This window comes from Homo sapiens, chromosome 10 (assembly GCF_000001405.40).
Source record: "Homo sapiens chromosome 10, GRCh38.p14 Primary Assembly".
In the NCBI taxonomy this organism is placed as follows: domain Eukaryota; kingdom Metazoa; phylum Chordata; class Mammalia; order Primates; family Hominidae; genus Homo; species Homo sapiens.
Genome location: NC_000010.11, coordinates 13,313,857 through 13,334,362, shown reverse-complemented (window position 1 = coordinate 13,334,362; position 20,506 = coordinate 13,313,857). Strand labels below are relative to the sequence as shown.

At 44.2% G+C, this 20,506-nt stretch overlaps 1 protein-coding gene across 8 annotated transcripts in view, besides 2 other annotated features; it reads left to right on the top strand.

The window, feature by feature from the left end:
• Positions 1-16,935, top strand: part of SEPHS1 (selenophosphate synthetase 1) — a 30,866-nt gene extending 13,931 nt beyond the window's left edge. For 4 of the 8 annotated variants that reach the window (NR_164738.1, NM_001195602.2, NM_012247.5 and 1 more), the window contains 5 exons: positions 392-546; positions 4,575-4,665; positions 5,913-6,012; positions 11,316-11,528; positions 15,007-16,935. Coding sequence is in view for 7 of the 8 variants with exons in the window: in NM_001195602.2 (NP_001182531.1) it covers positions 392-546; positions 4,575-4,665; positions 5,913-6,012; positions 11,316-11,528; positions 15,007-15,221 (774 nt within the window). In the remaining variant the exon portion in view is untranslated. The remainder of the gene's footprint in view (positions 1-391; positions 547-4,574; positions 4,666-5,912; positions 6,013-11,315; positions 11,529-15,006) is intronic. The other 4 variants (XM_047424841.1, NM_001375769.1, XM_047424840.1 and 1 more) reach the window with 2 other exon arrangements.
• Positions 3,942-4,442: an enhancer, noted in NCBI's record as "H3K27ac hESC enhancer chr10:13371921-13372421 (GRCh37/hg19 assembly coordinates)". NCBI's record gives its function as "activates a minimal SCP1, AML or CMV promoter by ChIP-STARR-seq in primed H9 embryonic stem cells {active_cell/tissue: H9 hESC(primed)}" and the evidence as "EXISTENCE:reporter gene assay evidence [ECO:0000049][PMID:30033119]".
• Positions 4,443-4,943: an enhancer, noted in NCBI's record as "H3K27ac hESC enhancer chr10:13371420-13371920 (GRCh37/hg19 assembly coordinates)". NCBI's record gives its function as "activates a minimal SCP1, AML or CMV promoter by ChIP-STARR-seq in primed H9 embryonic stem cells {active_cell/tissue: H9 hESC(primed)}" and the evidence as "EXISTENCE:reporter gene assay evidence [ECO:0000049][PMID:30033119]".
• Positions 16,936-20,506: the final 3,571 nt, after the last annotated feature.

The following is a 20,506-nucleotide window of genomic DNA, read 5'->3' as shown; positions in this document are numbered from 1 at the left end:
CACCATGTTGGCCAGGCTGGTCTCAAACTCCTGACCTCAGGTGATCTGCCCGCCTCAGCCTCCCAAAGTGCTGGGAATACAGGCATGAGCCACTGTGCCCGGTCACCCAGCAATTTTTACATGTTTCGTAGAGAAAGGGGTCTGTCTGCATTGCCCAGACTGGTCTTAAACTCCTGGGCTCAAGCTCTCTGCCCACCTCGGACTCCCAAAGTGCTGGGATTACAGGCGTGAGCGATTATGCCTGGCCCCTAACAACCTTCCCTGTCTGTAAACTTTGAGGACTTCCTTTAGGATTTTATGGTTCTTTTTATAACTGTAAGTGTAAAAACCTTCTTTTCTGGGTTTTGAACAGAATTCTTTGACTTTTTATTTGTACCTTTTTCAACCTTAGGAAAGGGATAAAGTGATGCCTCTGATTATCCAAGGTTTTAAAGACGCAGCTGAGGAAGCAGGAACATCTGTAACAGGCGGCCAAACAGTACTAAACCCCTGGATTGTCCTGGGAGGAGTGGCTACCACTGTCTGCCAACCCAATGAATTTATCATGTAAGTTGATTTTTGTTTCATATCACCTGACCTGTTTTTCTCTCTCTGTCCTCTCTTTTTAAAAATTGATGTATTAAGGTCAGGTGCAGTGGCTCACACATATGATCCCAGACTTTGGTAGGCCGAGGCGGGCAGATCACCTGAGGTCAGGAGTTTGAGACCAGCCTGGCCAATGTGGCGAAACCCTGTCTCTACTAAAAATACAAAAATTAGCCAGGCATGGTGGGGCAAGCCTGTAGTTTCAGCTACTCTGGAGGCTGAGGCAGGAGAATCGCTTGAACCCCAGGGGTGGAGGTTGCAGTGAGCTGAGATCATGCCCCTGCACTCTAGCCTGGGCAACAGAACAAGATTCTGTCTCCAAAAAAAAAAAAGACAAGAACGCAAGGCTGGGCGCGGTTGCTCATGCCTGTAATCCCAGCGCTTTTGGAGGCCAAGGCGGGTGGATCACCTGAGGTTGGGAGTTTGAGACCAGCCTGACCAACATGGAGAAACCCCATCTCTACTAAAAATACACAATTAGCCAGGCATGATGGTACATGCCTGTAATCCCAGCTACTTGGGAGGCTGAGGCAGGAGAATCACTTGAACCCAGGAGGCTGCGGCTGCAGTGAGCCAAGATCGCGCCACTGCACTCCAGCCTGGGCAACAAGAGCGAAACTCCATCTCAAAAAAAAAAAAAAATAGATGTATTAAGATATAATTTGCGTACTATACCATTCACCCATTTAAAGAGTCAGTGGTTTGGAGTATACTCAGAGTTGTACAGCCATTACCGGAGTTGATGTTAGGATGTTTTCATTGCTACAGGAAGAAACCCCATCCTCCTCGGCTCTCACTGTTCACTCCTGCTCCATCCTGGATTTTGTCACTTAGCATAGTATTAGCATACTTTTAAGGGTCATCTATTTTGTAGCATGTGTCAGTATTTTAATCCTATTTTTAAGACATTTTAGGTGTTTTTGTTTTTTTTTTTTGAGACGGAGTCTTACTCCGTCGCCCAGGCTGGAGTGCAGTGGTATGATCTCGGCTCACTGCAAGCTCCATCTCCCGGGTTCATGCCATTCTCCTGCCTCAGCTTCCCGAGTAGCTGGGACTACAGGCACCTGCCACCATGCCCGGCTAATTTTTTGTATTTTTAGTAGAGATGGGGTTTCACCATGTTAGGCAGGATGGTCTCGATCTCCTGATCTCATGATCCGACCGCCTCAGCCTCCCAAAGTGCTGGGATTACAGGCGTGAGCCACCGCGCCCGGCTGACATTTTAGGTTTTTTAGTTGAAGTATAATTCACGTAACAAAATTTCACATAACATAGAATTCAGCATTTTGAAGTACACAATGTGTTGGTTTTTAGTATTGACAAGGTTGTGCACCCATCACCACTATCCAATTCCAGAATGTTTTCATCACCCCAAAAAGAAGCCCTGTAGCTCACTCCCATTTCCCTCCTGCTCCCATCCTCTGGCAACCAAGAATGTGCTTTTGTCTCTAAGGATTTGCCTGTTCTGGACATTGTATAGAAATGGAATCGTGCAGCATGACATGCTGTGTCTGGCTTCACTCCCATAGCGGAATGTTTTCCGGGTCCATCCGTGTTGTAGCATGAATCGGTATCGCATTCCTTTCCATGGCTGTATAATCCATTGCATGGATGGACCCTGCTTTATTTAGCCATTCCTCAGGTGACGGACCTTTGGGTTGTTTCCACCTATTAGGAATGATGCTGCCATGAACATTCTAAGTTTTTGTGTGGACATAAGTTCCGGTCTCTTGGGTGTATACCTAAGAATTGACTGGGTCATGTGGTAATTATGTTTAACTTGAGGAATCATCAGACTGGTCTCCAACATGGCTGCGCCATTTTACGTTCCCAGCAGCAATGTATGAGGATTCCAATTTCTCTATGACCCCTCCAGTACTTGTTTTCCTGTCTGTCTTTTGGATTCTAGCCAGCCTACTGGGTGTGAAGTGGAATGTCTTTGTGGTTTTGATTTGTGTCTGCCTGATGACTGATGAGGCCGAGCATCTTTTCATGTGCTTACTACCCATTTGTGTATCTTCTTTGGAGAAGTTTCTCTCCTAACCAAGTTGTCACTTTCCATGTTTGATGTCTTGTTAAGAAAAGTCAGTCTTTTGGCCGGGCGTGGTGGCTCATGCCTGTAATCCCAGCACTTTGGGAAGCCAAGACGGGTGGATCATCTGAGGTCAGGAGTTCAAGACCACCCTGGCCAACATGGTGAAACCCTGTCTCTACTAAAAATACAAAAAATTAGCCGGGCACGATGGCAGGCGCCTGTAATCCCAGCTACTCAGGAGACTGAGGAGAGTGGTTTGAACCCAGGAGGCGGAGGTTGCAGTGAGCCAAGATCGTGCCACTGTACTCCAGCCTGGGTGACAGAGTGAAACTCAGTTTCAAAAAAAAAAGATCTAGAATTAGAAATACCATTTGACCCAGCAATCCCATTACTGGGTATATACCCAAAGGATTATAAATCATGCTGCTGTAAAGACGCATGCACACATATGTTTATTGCAGCACTATTCACAATAGCTAAGACTTGGAACCAACTCAAATGTCCATCAATGATAGACTGGATTAAGAAAATGTGGCACATACACACCGTGGAATACTACGCAGCCGTAAAAAAGGATGAGTTCATGTACTTTGCAGGGAGATGGATGAAGCTGGAAACCATCATTCTAAGCAAACTATCAAAAGGACAGAAAACCAAACGCCGCATGTTCTCACTCATAGGTGGGAGTTGAACAATGAGAACACTTGGACACAGGGCGGGTAACATCACACACCAGGGCCTGTCGGGGGTAGGGGGCTGGGGGAGGGATAGCATTAGGAGATATACCTAATGTAAAGGACGGGTTGATGGGTACAGCAAACCAACATGGCACATGTATACCTATGTATCAAACCTGCATGTTGTGTACATGTACCCTAGAACTTAAAGTATAATTTTAAAAAATTTAAAAAAAAAGAACATCAACTTTATGGTACAACTGAGTCTGAATTCGAAGACATTTATGTCTTCAGGTCTGGTTTTTGGAAAACAAGTTTCTTGCGTAGTCACAGAATTCTATTTTTCAAAGCTGAGAGTGGATACAAATGGTATAGGTTGAGCTGGGGAGCTGGGTGTTGGTATTGAAGTCTGTGGCCCTGGCTTTGTTTTCATCGACTTGGGTGAGTACCTGAGGAGGCCAGCATCGGGGAATGGAACGATTCAGGAGCTCAGCTGCTGAAGCTGCGAAAGGCACAACTCTCAGACCTGCTTCCTGGTAGTGTGAATGCAAGTCTGGTAGATGTTTCATTCGGGCACCAGTTGTCATCTTTTAGAGGTGCCTTTTTAGTATTGCCTTCTGTCTCTAAGACAGGGACCACCAAGGCGTCTGGGTGCCAGGTAGGAAACTCACCATCAGTCAGTCTGAGTTTGAGAACCTGGAGGCAGAAATCACCAAGACATTAGACCCACAGATTGCCTGCAAATCCACCAAACCCCTGGGCCGAAAAATCCGTCCTGAGTCTCTAGCATATCAGTGATCATAAAGAAGCACTCTCTGTTTCAGAAGCTTTTGAATGCTAGTGGGTCTGTAGTGAAAATTACACATACACTCGTATGTGGTCGAGGGGAAATCTGGGCCTGATGAAACGTTTGAAGGCTAAATGTTTCATTCTTTTTAAAAATATGTATATTATTTTTGAAATGGGGTCCTTGTTGTGTTGCCCAGGCTGGTCCTGAACTCCTGGGCTCAAGTGATCCTCCCCTCTTGACCTCTCAAAGTGCTGGGGTTACAGAAATGAGCCACTGTGTCCAGCCTGATGGCTGAATGTTTTGTTCCAGCAATAGCCTCAGTAGCAGGTTGCAAGGCTCTGTCCCATACATGCTGGTAGTTGGCTTCAATTTAAGTAAATGCAAAGGCAGATATATTTTTGACAGATTATTCCTTCTCTTGTGTTAATAACAATGAGCTCATCTCCTTGGTTAGTTTGACTAGAACATGCCCTTTTCTTTTCTTCAGGCCAGACAATGCAGTGCCAGGGGACGTGCTGGTGCTGACAAAACCCCTGGGGACACAGGTGGCAGTGGCTGTGCACCAGTGGCTGGATATCGTGAGTAAACCACTGCTGTGATGGGAGGGAGGGGAATGGTACGTTTGCAGGTAATTTTTGTTGGAGGATTTGGGAAATGAGGTTTTTTAGTTTCATATCCAGGGAGTTAATATTAGTCAAGTCCTTAAAGAAATCCTAGGAATTGTTCATAGTCTTTAAATAACAGTTTTGCATATTGAATGCTTGATTGCAGTAGGTAAGCCCCAGCTTGGAGCTTTAAGATTTTTCTGTAAAGAATTTGCTCGGCAGGGGGTTAGCTTTGTTTACTTGGCCCTGAGATAGCTTCGTCTTTCATGTCTTAAACATCACTAAGAAATAATATGAAGGAGAATTGGTGGAAGGCGTAGTGTTTGGGGTATAAATAAAACCAGGGTTATTGACAGTTTAAATTGTTTTATGCAGTTTTTGGTTGTTTTTGTTTGGTAGTTTTGTCTTTTTAAACTGATGAGTAACTCAGAACATTTTGATAAATAATTCTCTTGTGCAGAATGAATCTATCTATAATGAGGATATGTCTTGTGAGTCATTTTTCCAGTGAGCTATAATCATACTTTAAGATTGGTTTTCTTCATTGCCGTAACAACTCACAAATTAATAAGATTGGGGTATATTCTCACATATCATGGTGCATTTAATTTCTACAACTATCATCTGAAACTACCAGTCCTGAGAAACAGTTGAAAGAGAATAATCAATAATTACACGTCTTTCATCAACCTGGTATATCTTAGCTTGATGTCGCAGGGTAGAGAAATTCTCTAAGGCTGCCACGTTCTTTAGCAGTTTTTCCCTCCTCCCCCTGTGATGGGGAGCAGAGCAGAAGGCCACTGCGGGGATGTTGCGCAGAGGTGCCTTCCAGCCCCACCTCCCAGGCCTGAGCTAGCAGGGAGCTGGAAGCAGGTGAGGCAGGGAGTGTCACGGATGGGGGAGCCCTTCTCCACTAGCAGGACACTACACTGCATGTACAGCAGTGCCGCCGTGTGTCCCGCTAGACTACACATACCCAATAAATCACAGCACTTAATTACAGAAATGTGGGATGAGAACAGAAAAGACGCCATGCTGACAGGTCTAATGGACACCTAAAATACTATCCACAGAAAAACCAGAGTTGGAAAATTCAGTTTTCTGAATTAAAGTCCCTAGAAGTTAAATAAGAAAAAGTTGCTGTTTTTCTCAGTTGCTAGAAGTAAAGATTAATCACATTTTCCTCTCTTTCTCTCCCTCACCTACATTTCTATTATCAGCCTGAGAAATGGAATAAGATTAAACTAGTGGTCACCCAAGAAGATGTAGAGCTGGCCTACCAGGAGGCGATGATGAACATGGCGAGGCTCAACAGGACAGGTATGACAGGTGGGAAGGGCGCTTCGGTCCCAGGGGTCCAAGACAGTAAATGTCTTAGGCTTTTCTGGCCACATACTGTCTCAGGGTAGGTGGCCAGATTTTTGGCCAGTGACTACAGACCGTCTTCTCCTGGTACCAGGTTGGCATTCCATAGATCACTGCAGATGGTCCCTGACTTACAGTGCTTTATAATTAAGAAGGAAGTCCTAACTTCTGACATACCAGAGGAACTATTTCTAGAAAGCGTTTGTGTGGGTTACCTATGTAAGATTTGGAAGCAAACCATTCAGAATGGAAATTTAGAAAGTTTAAGATACTGGAGCTATTTCCAGAACATAACCTTGGAAGTCTAGAAGTGCCCCCACTCCCACCCATCCCCTGCATTCCTGCTTAGGTGTAACCACTGAATTTTGTGTTTATTTTCTTGCATTTTAGAATATTTTTATTGCACAGCCCTTGTGTTCTTAAGCAGCAAATTAGTTTTGCATTTTTTTTACTTGTTTTGTTCACCATTGTTCCTGAGAGTCTCCTTGTTATATGTAGCTGTAGTAGATTCCTTTTGGCTGTGTTGATTTTTCCACTGGCTTCTCTGCTCTCCTGTTTCACACTGGGGCGACTGCTATGGACTTCCTTGGCCCAGCCCTCTGAGGCACGTGTAAGAGATCAGTACTGGCTCAGCTTTTATAGATAGTGCCAAACTGTCTTCCAAAGTGTTCACCACAGTTTACAATGGCACACTATGTTTAGAAAGCGTTTTTTAATATGTCTTCTCTTCCCATTTATTTTATACATTTTTTCTACTATAAAAGAATTACATGCTTATTATAGAAAAGTTTTTAGAAAATGGAAAATAGTACAGAAAAAAGTTGTCCATAGTCCCTCCACCCAAAACAGCTCCGGCTAGCATTTTTATGTATTCTTCCAGGACTTTTTTTCATGTTTGGCTGGTGATTTACTATTGTTGTTTTAAAGTAGTGGTTAGTATAAGTTTTCACTATGTAATGGTTAGTATATGTATTTGGAGTGCCTGCTTTTGTTGTTTTGACATGACTAATGTTTCCCATATTATGTATCCTAGTAAACTTTTTTTTTTTTTTTTTTTTTTTTTTTGAGACAGAATCTAACTCTGTCGCCCAGGCTGGAGTCCATTGGTGTGATCTCGGCTCACTGCAACCGCTACCTACCAGGTTCAAGCAGTTCTGTTGCCTCAGCCTTCCCAGTAGCTGGGACTACAGGCACGCATCATCACCATGCCCGGCGGATTTTTGTATTTTTGGTAGAGACAGGGTTTCACTATGTTGGCCAGGCTGGTCTCGAACTCCTGACCTCAGGTGATCTACCCTCCTTGGCCTCCCAAGGTGCTAGGATTATAGGCGTGAGCCATAGTACACATAATTTTTAATGACTAGATAATGTTCTACCAGAGAAATGTACCACAATTATCTTTTACCTATTGTTTTACAATTCATTTGGAAATAAAAATTTTCTGTAATTTGTTGTTACTTGTAAGAAAGTTATAGCCAGGCACAGTGGCTCACACCTATAATCCAGCACTTTGGGAGGTTGAGGCAGGAGGATCACTTGAGTCCAGCAGTTGGAGACCAGCCTAGGCAACATAGTGAGACCCCATCTCGTCTCTTTAGCTGCGCCTGGTGCATTCCTGTAGTCTAAGCTACTCGAGAGGCTGAGGTGGGAGGATTACTTGAGCCCAGGATGTTGAGACTGCAGTGAGTGGTGATCATACCCCTACGCTTCAGCCTGGGTGACAGGGTGAGATCATGTCTCAAAAAAAAAAAAAAAGTTATAGATCAGAGGAACAGAATAGAGAATCCAGAGGTAGGTCCATATTATAGTCAACTGATTTTTTTTTTTTTTTTGAGATGGAGTTTTGCTCTTTCGCCCAGGCTGAAGTGCAGTGGCAGGATCTTGGCTCACCGCAACCTCCGCCTTCCGACTTCAAGTGATTCTTCTGCCACAGCCTCCCAAGTAGCTGGGATTATAGGCGCCCGCCACCACGCCTGGCTAATTTTTGTATTTTTAGTAGAGATGGGTTTTCACCATGTTGGCCAGGCTAGTCTTGAACCCCTGACCTTGTGATCCGCCTGTCTCGGCCTCCCAAAGTACTGGGATTACAGGCGTGAGCCACTGCACCTGGCCTAGTCAACTGATTTTTGACAAAGGAGTAAAGGCAATTCATTGGAGAAAAGAGTCTTTTCACCAAATGGTGCTGGAACAAGTGGACATTCACATGAAGAAAATTATTCTGGATGCAGATCTTATACCTTTCGTGAAGATTAACTCAAAATGAATGTTTAGTGTGTTTTCACACTGCTATAAATAGCCAAGACTGGATAATTTATTTATTCATTTATTATTATTATTATTATTTTTTTTTTTTTTTTTTGAGACTGAGTCTCTTTTTTTTTTTTTTTTTTTTTTTTTTTTTTTTTTTTTTGAGACGGAGTCTCGCTGTCGCCCAGGCTGGAGTGCAGTGGGGTGATCTCGGCTCACTGCAACCTGTGCCTCTCAGGTTCAAGCGATTCTCCTGCCTCAGCCTCTGGAGTAGCTGGGATTACAGGGCGCACGCCACCACACCCCACTAATTTTGGTATTTTTAGTAGAGACGGGGTTTCACCATGTTGGTCAGGCTGGTCTTGAACTCCTGACCTTGGCCTCCCAAAGTGCTGGAATTGCAGGCGTGAGCCACCATGCCCAGCTGACTGGGTAATTTATAAAGGAAAGAGGTTTAATTTACTCACAGTTTCACATGGCTGGGGAGACCTCAGGAAACTTACAGTCGTGGCAGATGGTGAAGGGGAAACAGGCACCTAGGTTCTTCATGAGGCAGCAGGACAGAGAAGAGCAGGGGAAACTGCCACTTACAAAACCATCAGATCTCATGAGAATTCATTCACCCTGACGAGAACAGCACGAGGGAAACCGCCCTCATGATTCAGTCACCTCCCACCAGGTCCCTCTCTTGACATGTGGGGATTACAATTCGAGATGAGATTTAGGTGGGGACACAGAGCCAGACCATATTGATGATTCGTAGACCTAAATAAAACACAACAATATAAAACTGGAAGAAGGTAACATCAGAGAAAATTGAGGTGGCTTTGGGTTTGGTGATGACTTTATAACACCAAAAGCACTATCTATTAAAAAATTGCTAAGTTTGGCTTTATTAATATAAAAAACTTCTGCTCGGTGAAAAACACTGTTAAGGAAATGAAAAGACAAGCCACAGACTGGGAGAAAAATTTTGCCAAACACATACCTGTTCAAGGTCAGGTATCCAAAATATACAAAGGACTCTTAAAACTCAATAATAAAAAACAACTCAATTTAAACATGGCCCAAAGACCTTGACAGACACCATGAAAGAAGATAACGCAGATGGCAAATAAGCATAAAAGGAAACCTTCAGTGTGGTACGTCAATAGGGAACTGTAGATTAAAGCAGTGATTGAGATGCCACCACATACCTGTTAGAATGGCTAAAATCCAAAACACTGAGAATAGCCTGGGCAACATGGTGAAACCCCATCTCTACCAAAAAAATACAAAAAATTAGCTGGGCATGGTGGCTTGCGCCTTAGTCCCAGCTACTTGGGAAGCTGAGGTTGGGAGGATCCCTTGAGCCCAGGAGGTCGAGGCTGCAGTAAGCTGTGATCGCACCACCTCACTCCAGCCTGGGTGACAAAGCGAGACCCTGTCTCAAAAAAAACCCAAAAACACTGATAATACCAACTGCTGGCAAGGATGTAGAGAAACAGGAAGGAACTCTCATTTATTACTGGTAGGACTGAAAACTGGCACAGCCACTTTAAAAGTCAGTTTGGCAGTTTCTTATGAAACTAAATATGTTATTATATGATGCAGCGATTGTGCTCCTTGATATTCACTCAAAAAAGTTGAAAACTTACATTCACACAAAAGCCTGCAGACAAATGTTCATAGCAGCATTATTCATAATTGCCAGAACTTGGAAGCAGCCATTCATTTCTTCAGTAGGTGAGTGGATGAATGGATAAACAAAATGTAGTGTATCTGTATGATGGAATATAATTGAGCAGTAAAAAGAAATGAGCTATCAAGCCATGAAAAGATGTGGAGGAATCTTAAGTGCATATTACTAAGTGAAAGAAGCCAGTCTGAAAAAGCTCCATACAGAAGGATTCCAACTGCATGACATTCTGCAAAACTGTAGAGATGCAGAAAGGATCAGTGGTGGCCAGAGGTTATCGGAGAGGAAGGGGATCAGGTAGAGCAGAGCACTGAGGATTTGTTACTTCCCACTTAATTTCTTTCTAAACGCAAAACTGCTCCAAAAAATAAAGTCTGTAAATTTTTTTAAAATTAAATAATAGGTCGGGTGAATGGATAATTAAATAATAGTAGGTGAGTGGATGAATGGATAAACAAAATGTAGTGTATCTGTAGTATGGAATATTATTGAGCAGTGGCTCACACTTGTGATCCCAGCGCTTTGGGAGGCTGAGGCAGGACGATTGCCTGAGCCCAAGTGCAGTGAGTTATGATCATGCCACTGCACTCCAGCCTGGTCAATAGAGCAAGACTCTGTCTCTTAAAAAAAAAAAAAAGAAAGAAATTTAAAAATAAACTTGCACGCAATTCACCTTTCGCGGGAGTACCTTGATACTGAGCAAGGCCTTCTTAAAAAGTGCTGGTCTTGGCCGGGTGTGGTGGCTCACATCTGTAATCCCAGCACTTTGGGAGGCCAGGGCGGGCGGATCATGAGGTCAGGAGTTCAAGATCAGCCTGGCCAATATGGTGAAACCCTGTCTCTGCTAAAAATACAGAAATTAGCTGGGCGTGGTGGTGCGCACCTGTAGTCCCAGCTATTCAGGAGGCTGAGGCAGGAGAATCACTTGAGCCCTGGAGGCAGAGGTTGCAGTGAGCCGAGATCGTACGACTGCACCCCAGCCTGGATGACAGAGCGAGACTCCATCTCAAAAAAGGAAAAAAGTGCCGGTCTTTGGTTTTAGGATGGTCTTGGCCGGTTTACCTTCCACTGAGATCATAATCCCTCTGCATAGTTTTTTTAGTTTACTGGAAAACTACTATTAATTGAAGCTTCTGATAGTTTTCAGGTGGCTCAAAGTGAAATAAGAACTTTTGGAATTTCACTATGTCTTTGGTTGATTTTACATTGCGTTTTCATTATTCCGATACGTCATCTCCCTGACAAGTAAGGAAGTTGCAGATTAATTGTGGACGTAAGATTTTTGAGTTGAGGAAAGGTGTTTTTTCTCAGAGCCGCCCCCTCTCTCTCCCAGCTGCAGGACTCATGCACACGTTCAATGCCCACGCCGCCACTGACATCACGGGCTTCGGGATTTTGGGCCATGCGCAGAACCTGGCCAAGCAGCAGAGGAACGAGGTGTCGTTTGTAATTCACAACCTCCCGGTGCTGGCCAAGATGGCTGCGGTGAGCAAGGCCTGCGGAAACATGTTCGGCCTCATGCACGGGACCTGCCCGGAGACTTCAGGTACAGGATGCTGGGCGCATCTGAGGACTAAATAGTGAGGCTAACAGAAAGCTCAGCGAGAAAGCAGCAGCCCCACCCCGAGTGGGCCCCCACTCTGTTCGAGTTCCATGCTGCTGACCTCGGCCTCCGCAGCAGCTGGTGCCTTTCCTCCTCCCGGTGGGTCTGGTCCCCGCCATCCTGGGTGGATCCAGCAGCCTTGCTGAGGTTGAGTGGCCTGTGCTCTTTTTGATGCAAGGATATGGTGATGGGGGAAATAAGGTAGCATTCAGTTTTTACTGAAAGCTTCGCATTTGAAATTAACTGTAATACCCCTAGGTTACTTTGAACAGGTGATATTTTTTTCCTTGAAAATTGTCTAACGTTGTTTTAAGAATGATAGAGAGAAAAGGGGCCAGGTGTGGTGGCTCTTGCCTGTAATACTGGCACCTCAGGAGGCTGAGGCAGGCACATCACGTGAGATCAGGAGTTGAAGACCAGCCTGGCCAACATGGTGAAACCCCATCTTCACTAAAAATACAAAAAAAAAGTAGCTGGGCGTGGTGGTCCATGCCTTTAATCCCAGCTGCTTGGGAGGCTGAGCCAGGAGAATCACTTGAACCTGGGAGACAGAGGTTGCAGTGAGCCGAGATTGCGCCACTGCACTCCAGCCTGGGTGACAGAGCGAGATTCTGCCTTAAAAAAAAAAAAAAAAGAAAAGAGAATGATACAGAATAAAAAAGAATGCAATAGGATATTATGTCTTTAAAATGCCATTTTTCTTTTTTCTTAGATGTGCAGTAATTTATTAGAGGAAACATAAATGGAGGATAAACGGGAGATGGAGCAAGCGTAGGTAGAGAGAGCCATCAGACAGCAGTGCAGGTCTGACACCATACGCCCCAGTAGTTTGACTCCTAGGGAGCTTTTATATCCCTTATCATTTTTCTAAGATTAAGCTCCTTTTGTTTCCTGATTAATTTGGTGGCCACATCTGTCCGGAACTTGTGGGACGTCCTCCTCTTCATCATGGCAGGTACTCCAGCATGGCCTGCCGGCCGCCGAGGCCGCCACCCACAGCCTACAGGCTCGCCATCGCTCATTCCCACTCCCGCAGCCCCAGCTGGAGCCAGATGGCGCGTCCTCCTGAAGTACCATTTCTCTTTTGCCCCCTTTGTTCCCTTTACCTTTACTGTTTTCATCTTTTAAGTCTCCCTGTTTTTCCCTTTTTTTCGGTTTCTCTCTTTTTCTATTTCCTTTCCTCTAGAACTCTAGTTTTCTACCCGCAAAAGAGTGGAATCACCTTAGGATTTTAAATATACACATGCCGGCCAGGCCTGGTGGCTCACGCCTGTAATTCCAGCACTTTGGGAGGTCGAGGTCAGGAGTTCGAGACCAGCCTGACCAACATGGTGAAACCCTGTCTCTACTAAAAATACAAAAATTAGCGGGGCGTCGTGGCGTGTGCCCTGTAATCCCAGCTACTCCAGAGGCTGAGGCAGGAGAATCGCTTGAACCCAGGAGGCACAGGTTGCAGTGAGCCAAGATCGCCCCACTGCACTACAGCCTGGGCGACAGAGTGAGACTCTGTCTCAAAAAAAAAAAGAAAAATACACATGCCTAGCCCCAGCCTCCCAAAAACGGTGGGATCCATCTCGGGTGGGCCTGGGCCTCAGCATCTGTGAAGGCTGCCTGGGAGATTCCGTAGTAGGCCGGGGCAAGGGACCACAGTGCTGGGACCACAAAGCCCTGGTCACGTCGACCTGTGCTGTGGCGAGGGGGCTTCAGGACTCTGCCAGGCCTCTCACCGCCTTTATAGAGGACGCTTCAGCCTCCCGTTTAAAAAAACAAACCATTTTCTAGAAGTAAGCTCCAACAGGGCAGGGTTTTTTTCCCCTGCTGGTTCAGGCTCTGGCCAGGACAGTGTCTGCCACATAATTGGGCACTGAATGGAAATTGAATGAATTGACGAATGTTACCAGCCATTTAAATTTGTTTCCTTTCTTCAGAAATAGGAAGTTTTTAATTTTATGATGGAGTTTTCCTCTTGTCACCCAGGCTGGAGTGCAATGGCGCGATCTCAGCTCACTGCAACCTCCCCCTCCCCGGTTCAAGCGATTCTCTTGCCTCAGCCCGAGTAGCTGGGATTACAGGGCTGTGCCATCATGCCCAGCTAATTTAGAGACGAGGTTTTACCATGTTGGCCAGGCTGGTCTTGAACTACCTCCTGACCTCAGGTGATCCACCCGCCTCGGCCTCCCAAAGTGCTGGGATTACACGTGTGACCCACCATGCCCAGCCACAAGGTTTTTACATTTTGTAGAAGTAGACTACAGTTTTTCCTCATCATCTTATTTCTACTTAGAGAAATAAATTTTGGCCCGGTGCAGTGGCTCACGCCTGTAATCCCAGCACTTTGGGAGGCCAAGGCGGGTGGATCACGAGGTCAGGAGATCGAGACCATCCTGGCTAACACGGTGAAACCCTGTCTCTACTAAAAATACAAAAAATTAGCCGGGTGTGGTGGCGGGCGCCTGTAGTCCCAGCTACTCAGGAGGCTGAGGCAGGAGAATGGTGTGAACCCGGGAGGTGGAGCTTGCAGTGAGCCGAGATCACACCACTGCAATCCAACCTGGGAGACAGCGAGACTCCGTCTCAAAAAAAAAAAAAATTTATGGCCTATTTACTGGAAAGAGCAACAAAGGTTTATTTTAATGTATTTTATACTGTTTGTCTTTTGGATATAATGACAGAGTCATGACTGGAACCTAGATACTTTGGGGCATACACTGTTTCATGAGTCTTAAATTTTCTAAAAATACAAAAAAGCATTCTCGGTAAAATGAGAGAGTCGATGTAGAGAATCAAAAGTTCCCTTTTGTTTGTCAATATTTGTTTCAGTGTAGCTTGGAAAAAATAGCTACCACATGGGTTATTGAAGCCCCAAACACCTTACCCCTACACAGTGTTATGTGGTTCACGAATAGGTCATTTTCACAGTTGAAAGTTGGAGTGTATATGTGTGTGTGTTAGGAGTTTACTAGCAATTGCTTAATTACAGCATAGAACAGGCCTCTTAGGCTGGGAGTGGTGGTTCATTCCTGTAATCTCAGCACTTTGGGAGGCCAAGGCAGGTGGATTGCTTGAGTCCAGGAGTTTTAGACCAGCCTGGACAACACAGTGAAACCTTGTCTCTACAGAAAATTAGCCAGGTGTGGTGGTGCACACTTGTAATCACAGCTACTGGGAAAGCTGAAGTGGGAGGGTCACCTGAGCCAGGACATTGAGGCTGCAGTGAGCTGTGATTGTACCACTGCACTCCAGCTTGGGCCACAGAGTGAGACCCTGTCTCAAAAAAAAGCTGCTTAGTTGAATGGGAAGAGCTACTTGCATATAGGTGGCAGCAAGTTGTTGATGGAAGTTGGATCTCTGCAGAAGCAGCAGAGGCAGAGAAGCTGCTGTCATGTCAACACTAACAGTCATTCTTGTTTTCTTTTGCCAGGCGGCCTTCTGATCTGTTTACCACGTGAGCAAGCAGCTCGGTTCTGTGCAGAGATAAAGTCCCCCAAATATGGTGAAGGCCACCAAGCATGGATTATTGGGATTGTAGAGAAGGGCAACCGCACAGCCAGAATCATAGACAAACCCCGGATCATCGAGGTCGCACCACAAGTGGCCACTCAAAATGTGAATCCCACACCCGGGGCCACCTCTTAATCTAGACAGAAATAGCTGTTTGGTTTTGTTTTTAAATAGATCTATTTCCCTTATCACTTCAATTAAAGACTATAAACAACAAAAATCTCATTGTGTCTACACATCGGGGTGACCTTAGGTCGGTTTGTAAGTGGATACAATTAATAAAATAAAATCCATTGCCTTTTTTTCCTGTTACATTAACTGAAGATGCACCTAATCTTGAGGCAGCTTCTGAGTTGAGAATTATATTGTTATCCAATACTGTTGATTCATTTTGAATCTTTAGACACTTATCTCTTGCCGCATAGGCTTTTTAAAGGTGCTTTCACATAGCACAGGCATTACCCGTAGTCGTGTCAAATAGCAGTTGGTGTCTTCATTTTATGTATATTTATCATATAAGTCTGATTTTTTTTTTTAAGCGTCTTGAATGGTTTTCTGGAGAGACAGCATTGGTAAGTGGCACATGACGGTATCCCAGTCATAAGAGGGTTGCATGATTCCTTTGAGTGTTTGATTTGAAAAGCCTAGTCTTGTCTCTCAAGAGCATCTCGGACCCAGAACATTCTCCAGTAGTGCATTCAGTTCAACACAGCAAGTGCTTCATTGCATGGAAAACACTTTGAAGACAAAAAAGAAATCTTATTTCTTTTTTTGTAGCCTTCCTGATATTTACAGTAATACCATTAACTGTTTTATCGATAGCAAAAAAGGATACTTTTTGCAATGTTATTAGATGTTCTATAGTGCTACAAGGAATTGCCTTCCGAATGGAGGTTCATGTATAATACTCATTTACAATTCAATATATAATTACACAAATAATTTTTAAATATAATCAATAGTAAAGACTGTTCTGTGGATGGTAGTGTTTAATACATTTTCTATTTTGTACAGTGATTTCAGGCCTTTTGTTTTCTTAAAATCAGCAGCTGTTTGGCCTAATTCTTAGCATTATTTTGTCCTTTGCGCCAGTACTTTTTTGTGCACGCTTTTTGTGATCTGTGTTAAAAACCTGCATTGCCAACATTGCAGCTCGAACTTAAACTTGTTATTCAAATAAATATTTAATTTTTTAAATTGCTCTTGTATAATCAGATGCCCCTTTTAGTATTATTTTAGAAGCGTTGGGAGGGTTTTGCCTAAAGTACAATTTATCGGGAAAAACTAGATTTTAGTTTTATAAAACTTTTAAGTCTTTCATGGGACCTATATTTTCTTGAATTAAATTTTGTAGTTCTAGAATAAATAGGCAATCTAAAAAGGTGTTCTCTGTGTTATGTAAAGTGGAGGCTTCCTTATATTTTAACCTACTAAGCAATGAGGAGGGATTCCTGTCATTAAGCACAAGGGCGCTGGATCCTCAAGTGCCCATCTTCGTGAGAGAAAAAGCAGCACATCCTGCCCATTTCTGGTGCTTTCTGCTCACAGGCACCAAAGCTGCACATGTAAACTGACTTCTTGCCAAAGGAAATGACCCCTGGGAAGTTCAAGCTCCTGGAAGAGGCTTTAACTCGGACGCGCCCTCCTCCAGGAACCAGTGGGCAGGGCAGCCTTCATGCATGTGTAACTGGACCTCCAGCCATAAGCATGGTGTGCAGTATGGAAGAGCCTGCTACGGAACTGAAAGTGATTGGACATTTTATAGGAATTGATAGAGATGTTGGTCCTCAAAAGCTACAAACCAGTGGTCTGCAAAATAAAGTGTGTTGGAAACCTCTAGTGAGATAAACCTACTGTTGAGCTTTTTTTTTTTTTTTTTTTTAAATAACGATGACTGAACTTCAGTGTAGCCTGTGCCGTGAGAGCTGGTGTTTTCCTCAGTGGCAGGCCTATTGAGAGGAGGGAGCTAAGTGGAGTATGTACTTAAGGAAATAATATTTGTGAAGATTGATATTTATAAAGAGAAAATGTTGGGTACTTAGAGGTCCGTGTAAGTCTTATGATCCCAAGAGGAAGAATTTGTATTTAAAGCAGTGTTGGCTGGGCATGGTGGCTCACACCTGTAATATCAGCACTGTGGGAGGCCGAGGTGGGCAGATGACCAGAGGTCCAGAGTTCAAGACCAGACTTGCCAACATGGTGAAATCCTGTCTTTACTAAAAATACAAAAATTAGCTGGGTTTGGTGGCGCACACCTGTATTCCCAGCTACTGGGTAGGCTGAGGCACAAGAATCGCTTGAAGCCGGGAGATAGAAGTTGCAGTGAGCAACCTGCCATCACACCACTGCACTCCAGCTTGGGCGACAGAGACTCAGTCTCAAGAAACAGACTCAAGTCTCAACAAGCAAACAAAAACCAGTATTGTATAGTGGCCCAGATTCACCTGTGTTAGAATCACCCGGGGTGTTAGAAGGCAACATTCCTGCCCCTGATTTTCCAGATTCACAGAATCAGAATTTCTGGGGTGTGGGACTTTGGGAATATCTTAAATAAGGACCCTATGGGGCTATGGCCAAAAAAGTTTCAGAACCATGGGTGCAGCACACCAACATGGCACATGTATACATATGTAACAAACCTGCACGTTGTGCACATGTACCCTAAAACTTAAAGTATAATTTAAAAAAAAAACTGATCTCAAAAGGAATGTTGCAGAGGAAGGCAGGGAAAGTAAGAGGACCTGGTTTTGCAACTTTTTTTTTTTTTTTTTTTTTGAGGCGGAGTCTCTCTATCAGCCAGGCTGGAGTGCAGTGGTGCGATCTCAGCTCACTGCAACCTCTGTCTCCCAGGTTCCAGTGATTCTCCCGCCTCAGCCTCCCGAGTAGCTGGGATTACAGGCGCATGCCACCAAGCCTGACTGATTTTTGTATTTTTAGTAGAGACAGGGTTTTGCCATGTTGGTCTCGAACTGAGCTCAAACGATCCGCCTGCCTTGGCCTCCCAAAGTGCTGGGATCACAGGTGTGAGCCACCATGCCCAGCCTTTTGCAACATATTTTGCAGGAATTTTTTCCTCGACCATTCTCTTACCGACCATTCCGACCAAATCTTGACCATTCTGTTTACTTCCCACATCTGAGCTACGGCCCAGCAAGGCAGCAGAAAGACCTGTATTTTGAAAGCTCCACGAAGACTCAAATGATTGTCACTGAATATTGGAGTTCTTGGCAAAATCTATGTAGAACATTTTAAAAGTCAGTGGACAGGCCAGACATGGTGGCTCACGTCTATAATCCTAGCACTTTGGGAAGCTGAGACAGGAGGATCACTTGAGCACAGGAGTTCGAGACCAGCCTAAGCAACATAGTGAGACCTCGTCTCTACAAAAAATAAAATTTAAAAAGTGAGTGGAGAGTAAGTAGTCGATTTGACTTTCTGGTAGCACTTTAAAACTTCACACTGAAGTGTATTTATCTTGGTATACTGATTTGTTTTCTGTAAATCATATAGTATAGTTGCATCCAAAAATACAGTCTGTTAGAATGCATAGAATTAGTGAATACAACCTGAGGCAGCTGGATCATGGTGGAGTCAGTCATTCAGGCACTAGGAATAATCTGAAGGAATATTGAAGCTGCTTATTTGCACAGGCTGTGTTGAGGTATTTATTGTGTTTCAGTCCAAGAAAAATTGAAATATTGTATAAGCAATATGTACTTTTTGGCTCAGTCTTTAAAAATAGTAGATTATAGTCTTCCAAGTTCTGCATGCTTTATAATGAATAAATGTGTTTCAAATTGTTCTGTTTATAGATGAATGAGCCAGGCATTTTCAGTCTGAATTTAGCATTCCCTTTAAAAGAGTTATATCTGAGTTCTCAATCTTAGTTTTAATTGTATAGAGACCAGAATAGCTATACTGTGCTGCACTTTATTTTTAGGTAATAGAGCAAGCGTAGTCATCGACGCTTCAGATACCAGTCGTGTCCGTGTGTGTGTTTTTGTGTATATTTGTTTGTATATATCCTTGAGTTGCTCACTTCCACACCCAGCCCACCCTTTCCTCTAGCTTAGGCAGTGGTTGCATAGACAACATAATTTACTTTGAACAGTAATTTGTAAATTTTTCTCATTAAGAATCCGCATATGAATTATAGTCATTACATATGCCAAGGGGCACAGTGAAAATCACCAATGTCCTGTTAAAAGTGAAGCCTGGGAATATCCTGTTATCTATGCTGAAATCTCTGTGTCTTGAATGAGGATGGGAGTGGATGGATTACACAAGGTCTTCATTCGGTAAAGCAGTAGGTGAGACGGTGCTCCCATAGGCATCTAGACTGGTTCTGGAATTGCCTGGAATCCAAGCCTGCTGCCAATGCCAAATGCTTTGATTTGTCTGTGAATTCAGGGTAAGGAAGGTGCTGTAAGTTTCCCTACGTTTCACAGTCCTTAAATATGACATCCAGCACTGAACACACAGTTGATGCTTTCCATGGTTTTTGTCCTTTCTAAGTCCTGTTGCTTTCAGAGGGAGTTTTATGCTTAGGAGAAACTGCATGTAATGAAGCCTATCAAAGCTTCATAGAAACAGAAAAGACCATGTGCGGTGGCTCACGCCTGTAATCCCAGCACTTTGGGGGGCCGAGGTGGGCGGATCACCTGAAGTCAGAAGTTCGAGACCAGCCTCAACATGGAGAAACCCCATCTCTGCTAAAAAAAAAAAAAAAAAAAAAGAAAATACAAAATTAGCCAGGCATGGTGGTGCATGCCTGTAATCCCAGCTACTCGGGAGGCTGCGGCAGGAGAATTGCTTGAACCTGGGAGGCGGAGGTTGTGCCGAGCTGAGATTGCGCCATTGCACTCCAGCCTGGGCAACAAGAGCGAAACTCCGTCTCAAAACAAACAAACAAACAAACAAACAAACAAAAACAGAAAACTCACTCTATTAGTGATCTGATTGCAGAAAAGCCAGTGTGTTTTCTACTATTATATTTTTAGAACAAGCATAGGCCCGTAGAAAATTATAAGGGCCTGGCTGGGCACAGTGGCTCACGCCTGTCATCCCAGCACTTTGGGAGGCCGAGGCTGGCAGATCCCGAGGTCAGCAGTTCGAGACCAACCTTACCAACATGGTGAAACCCTGTCTGTACTAAAAATACAAAAATTATCCGGGTGTGGTGGTGCGCACCTATAATCCCAGCTACTCGGGAGGCTGGGGCAGGAGAATCGCTTGAACCCGGGAGCCAGAGGTTGCAGTGAGCCAAGATCGTGCCATTGCACTCCAGCATGGGTGACAGAGCGAGACTTTGTCTCAAAAAAAAAAAAACAGAAAAGAAAAAAACGAGGCCGGGCGCGGTGGCTCACGCTTGTAATCCCAGCACTCTGGGAGGCCGAGGCGGCGGATCACAAAGTCAGGAG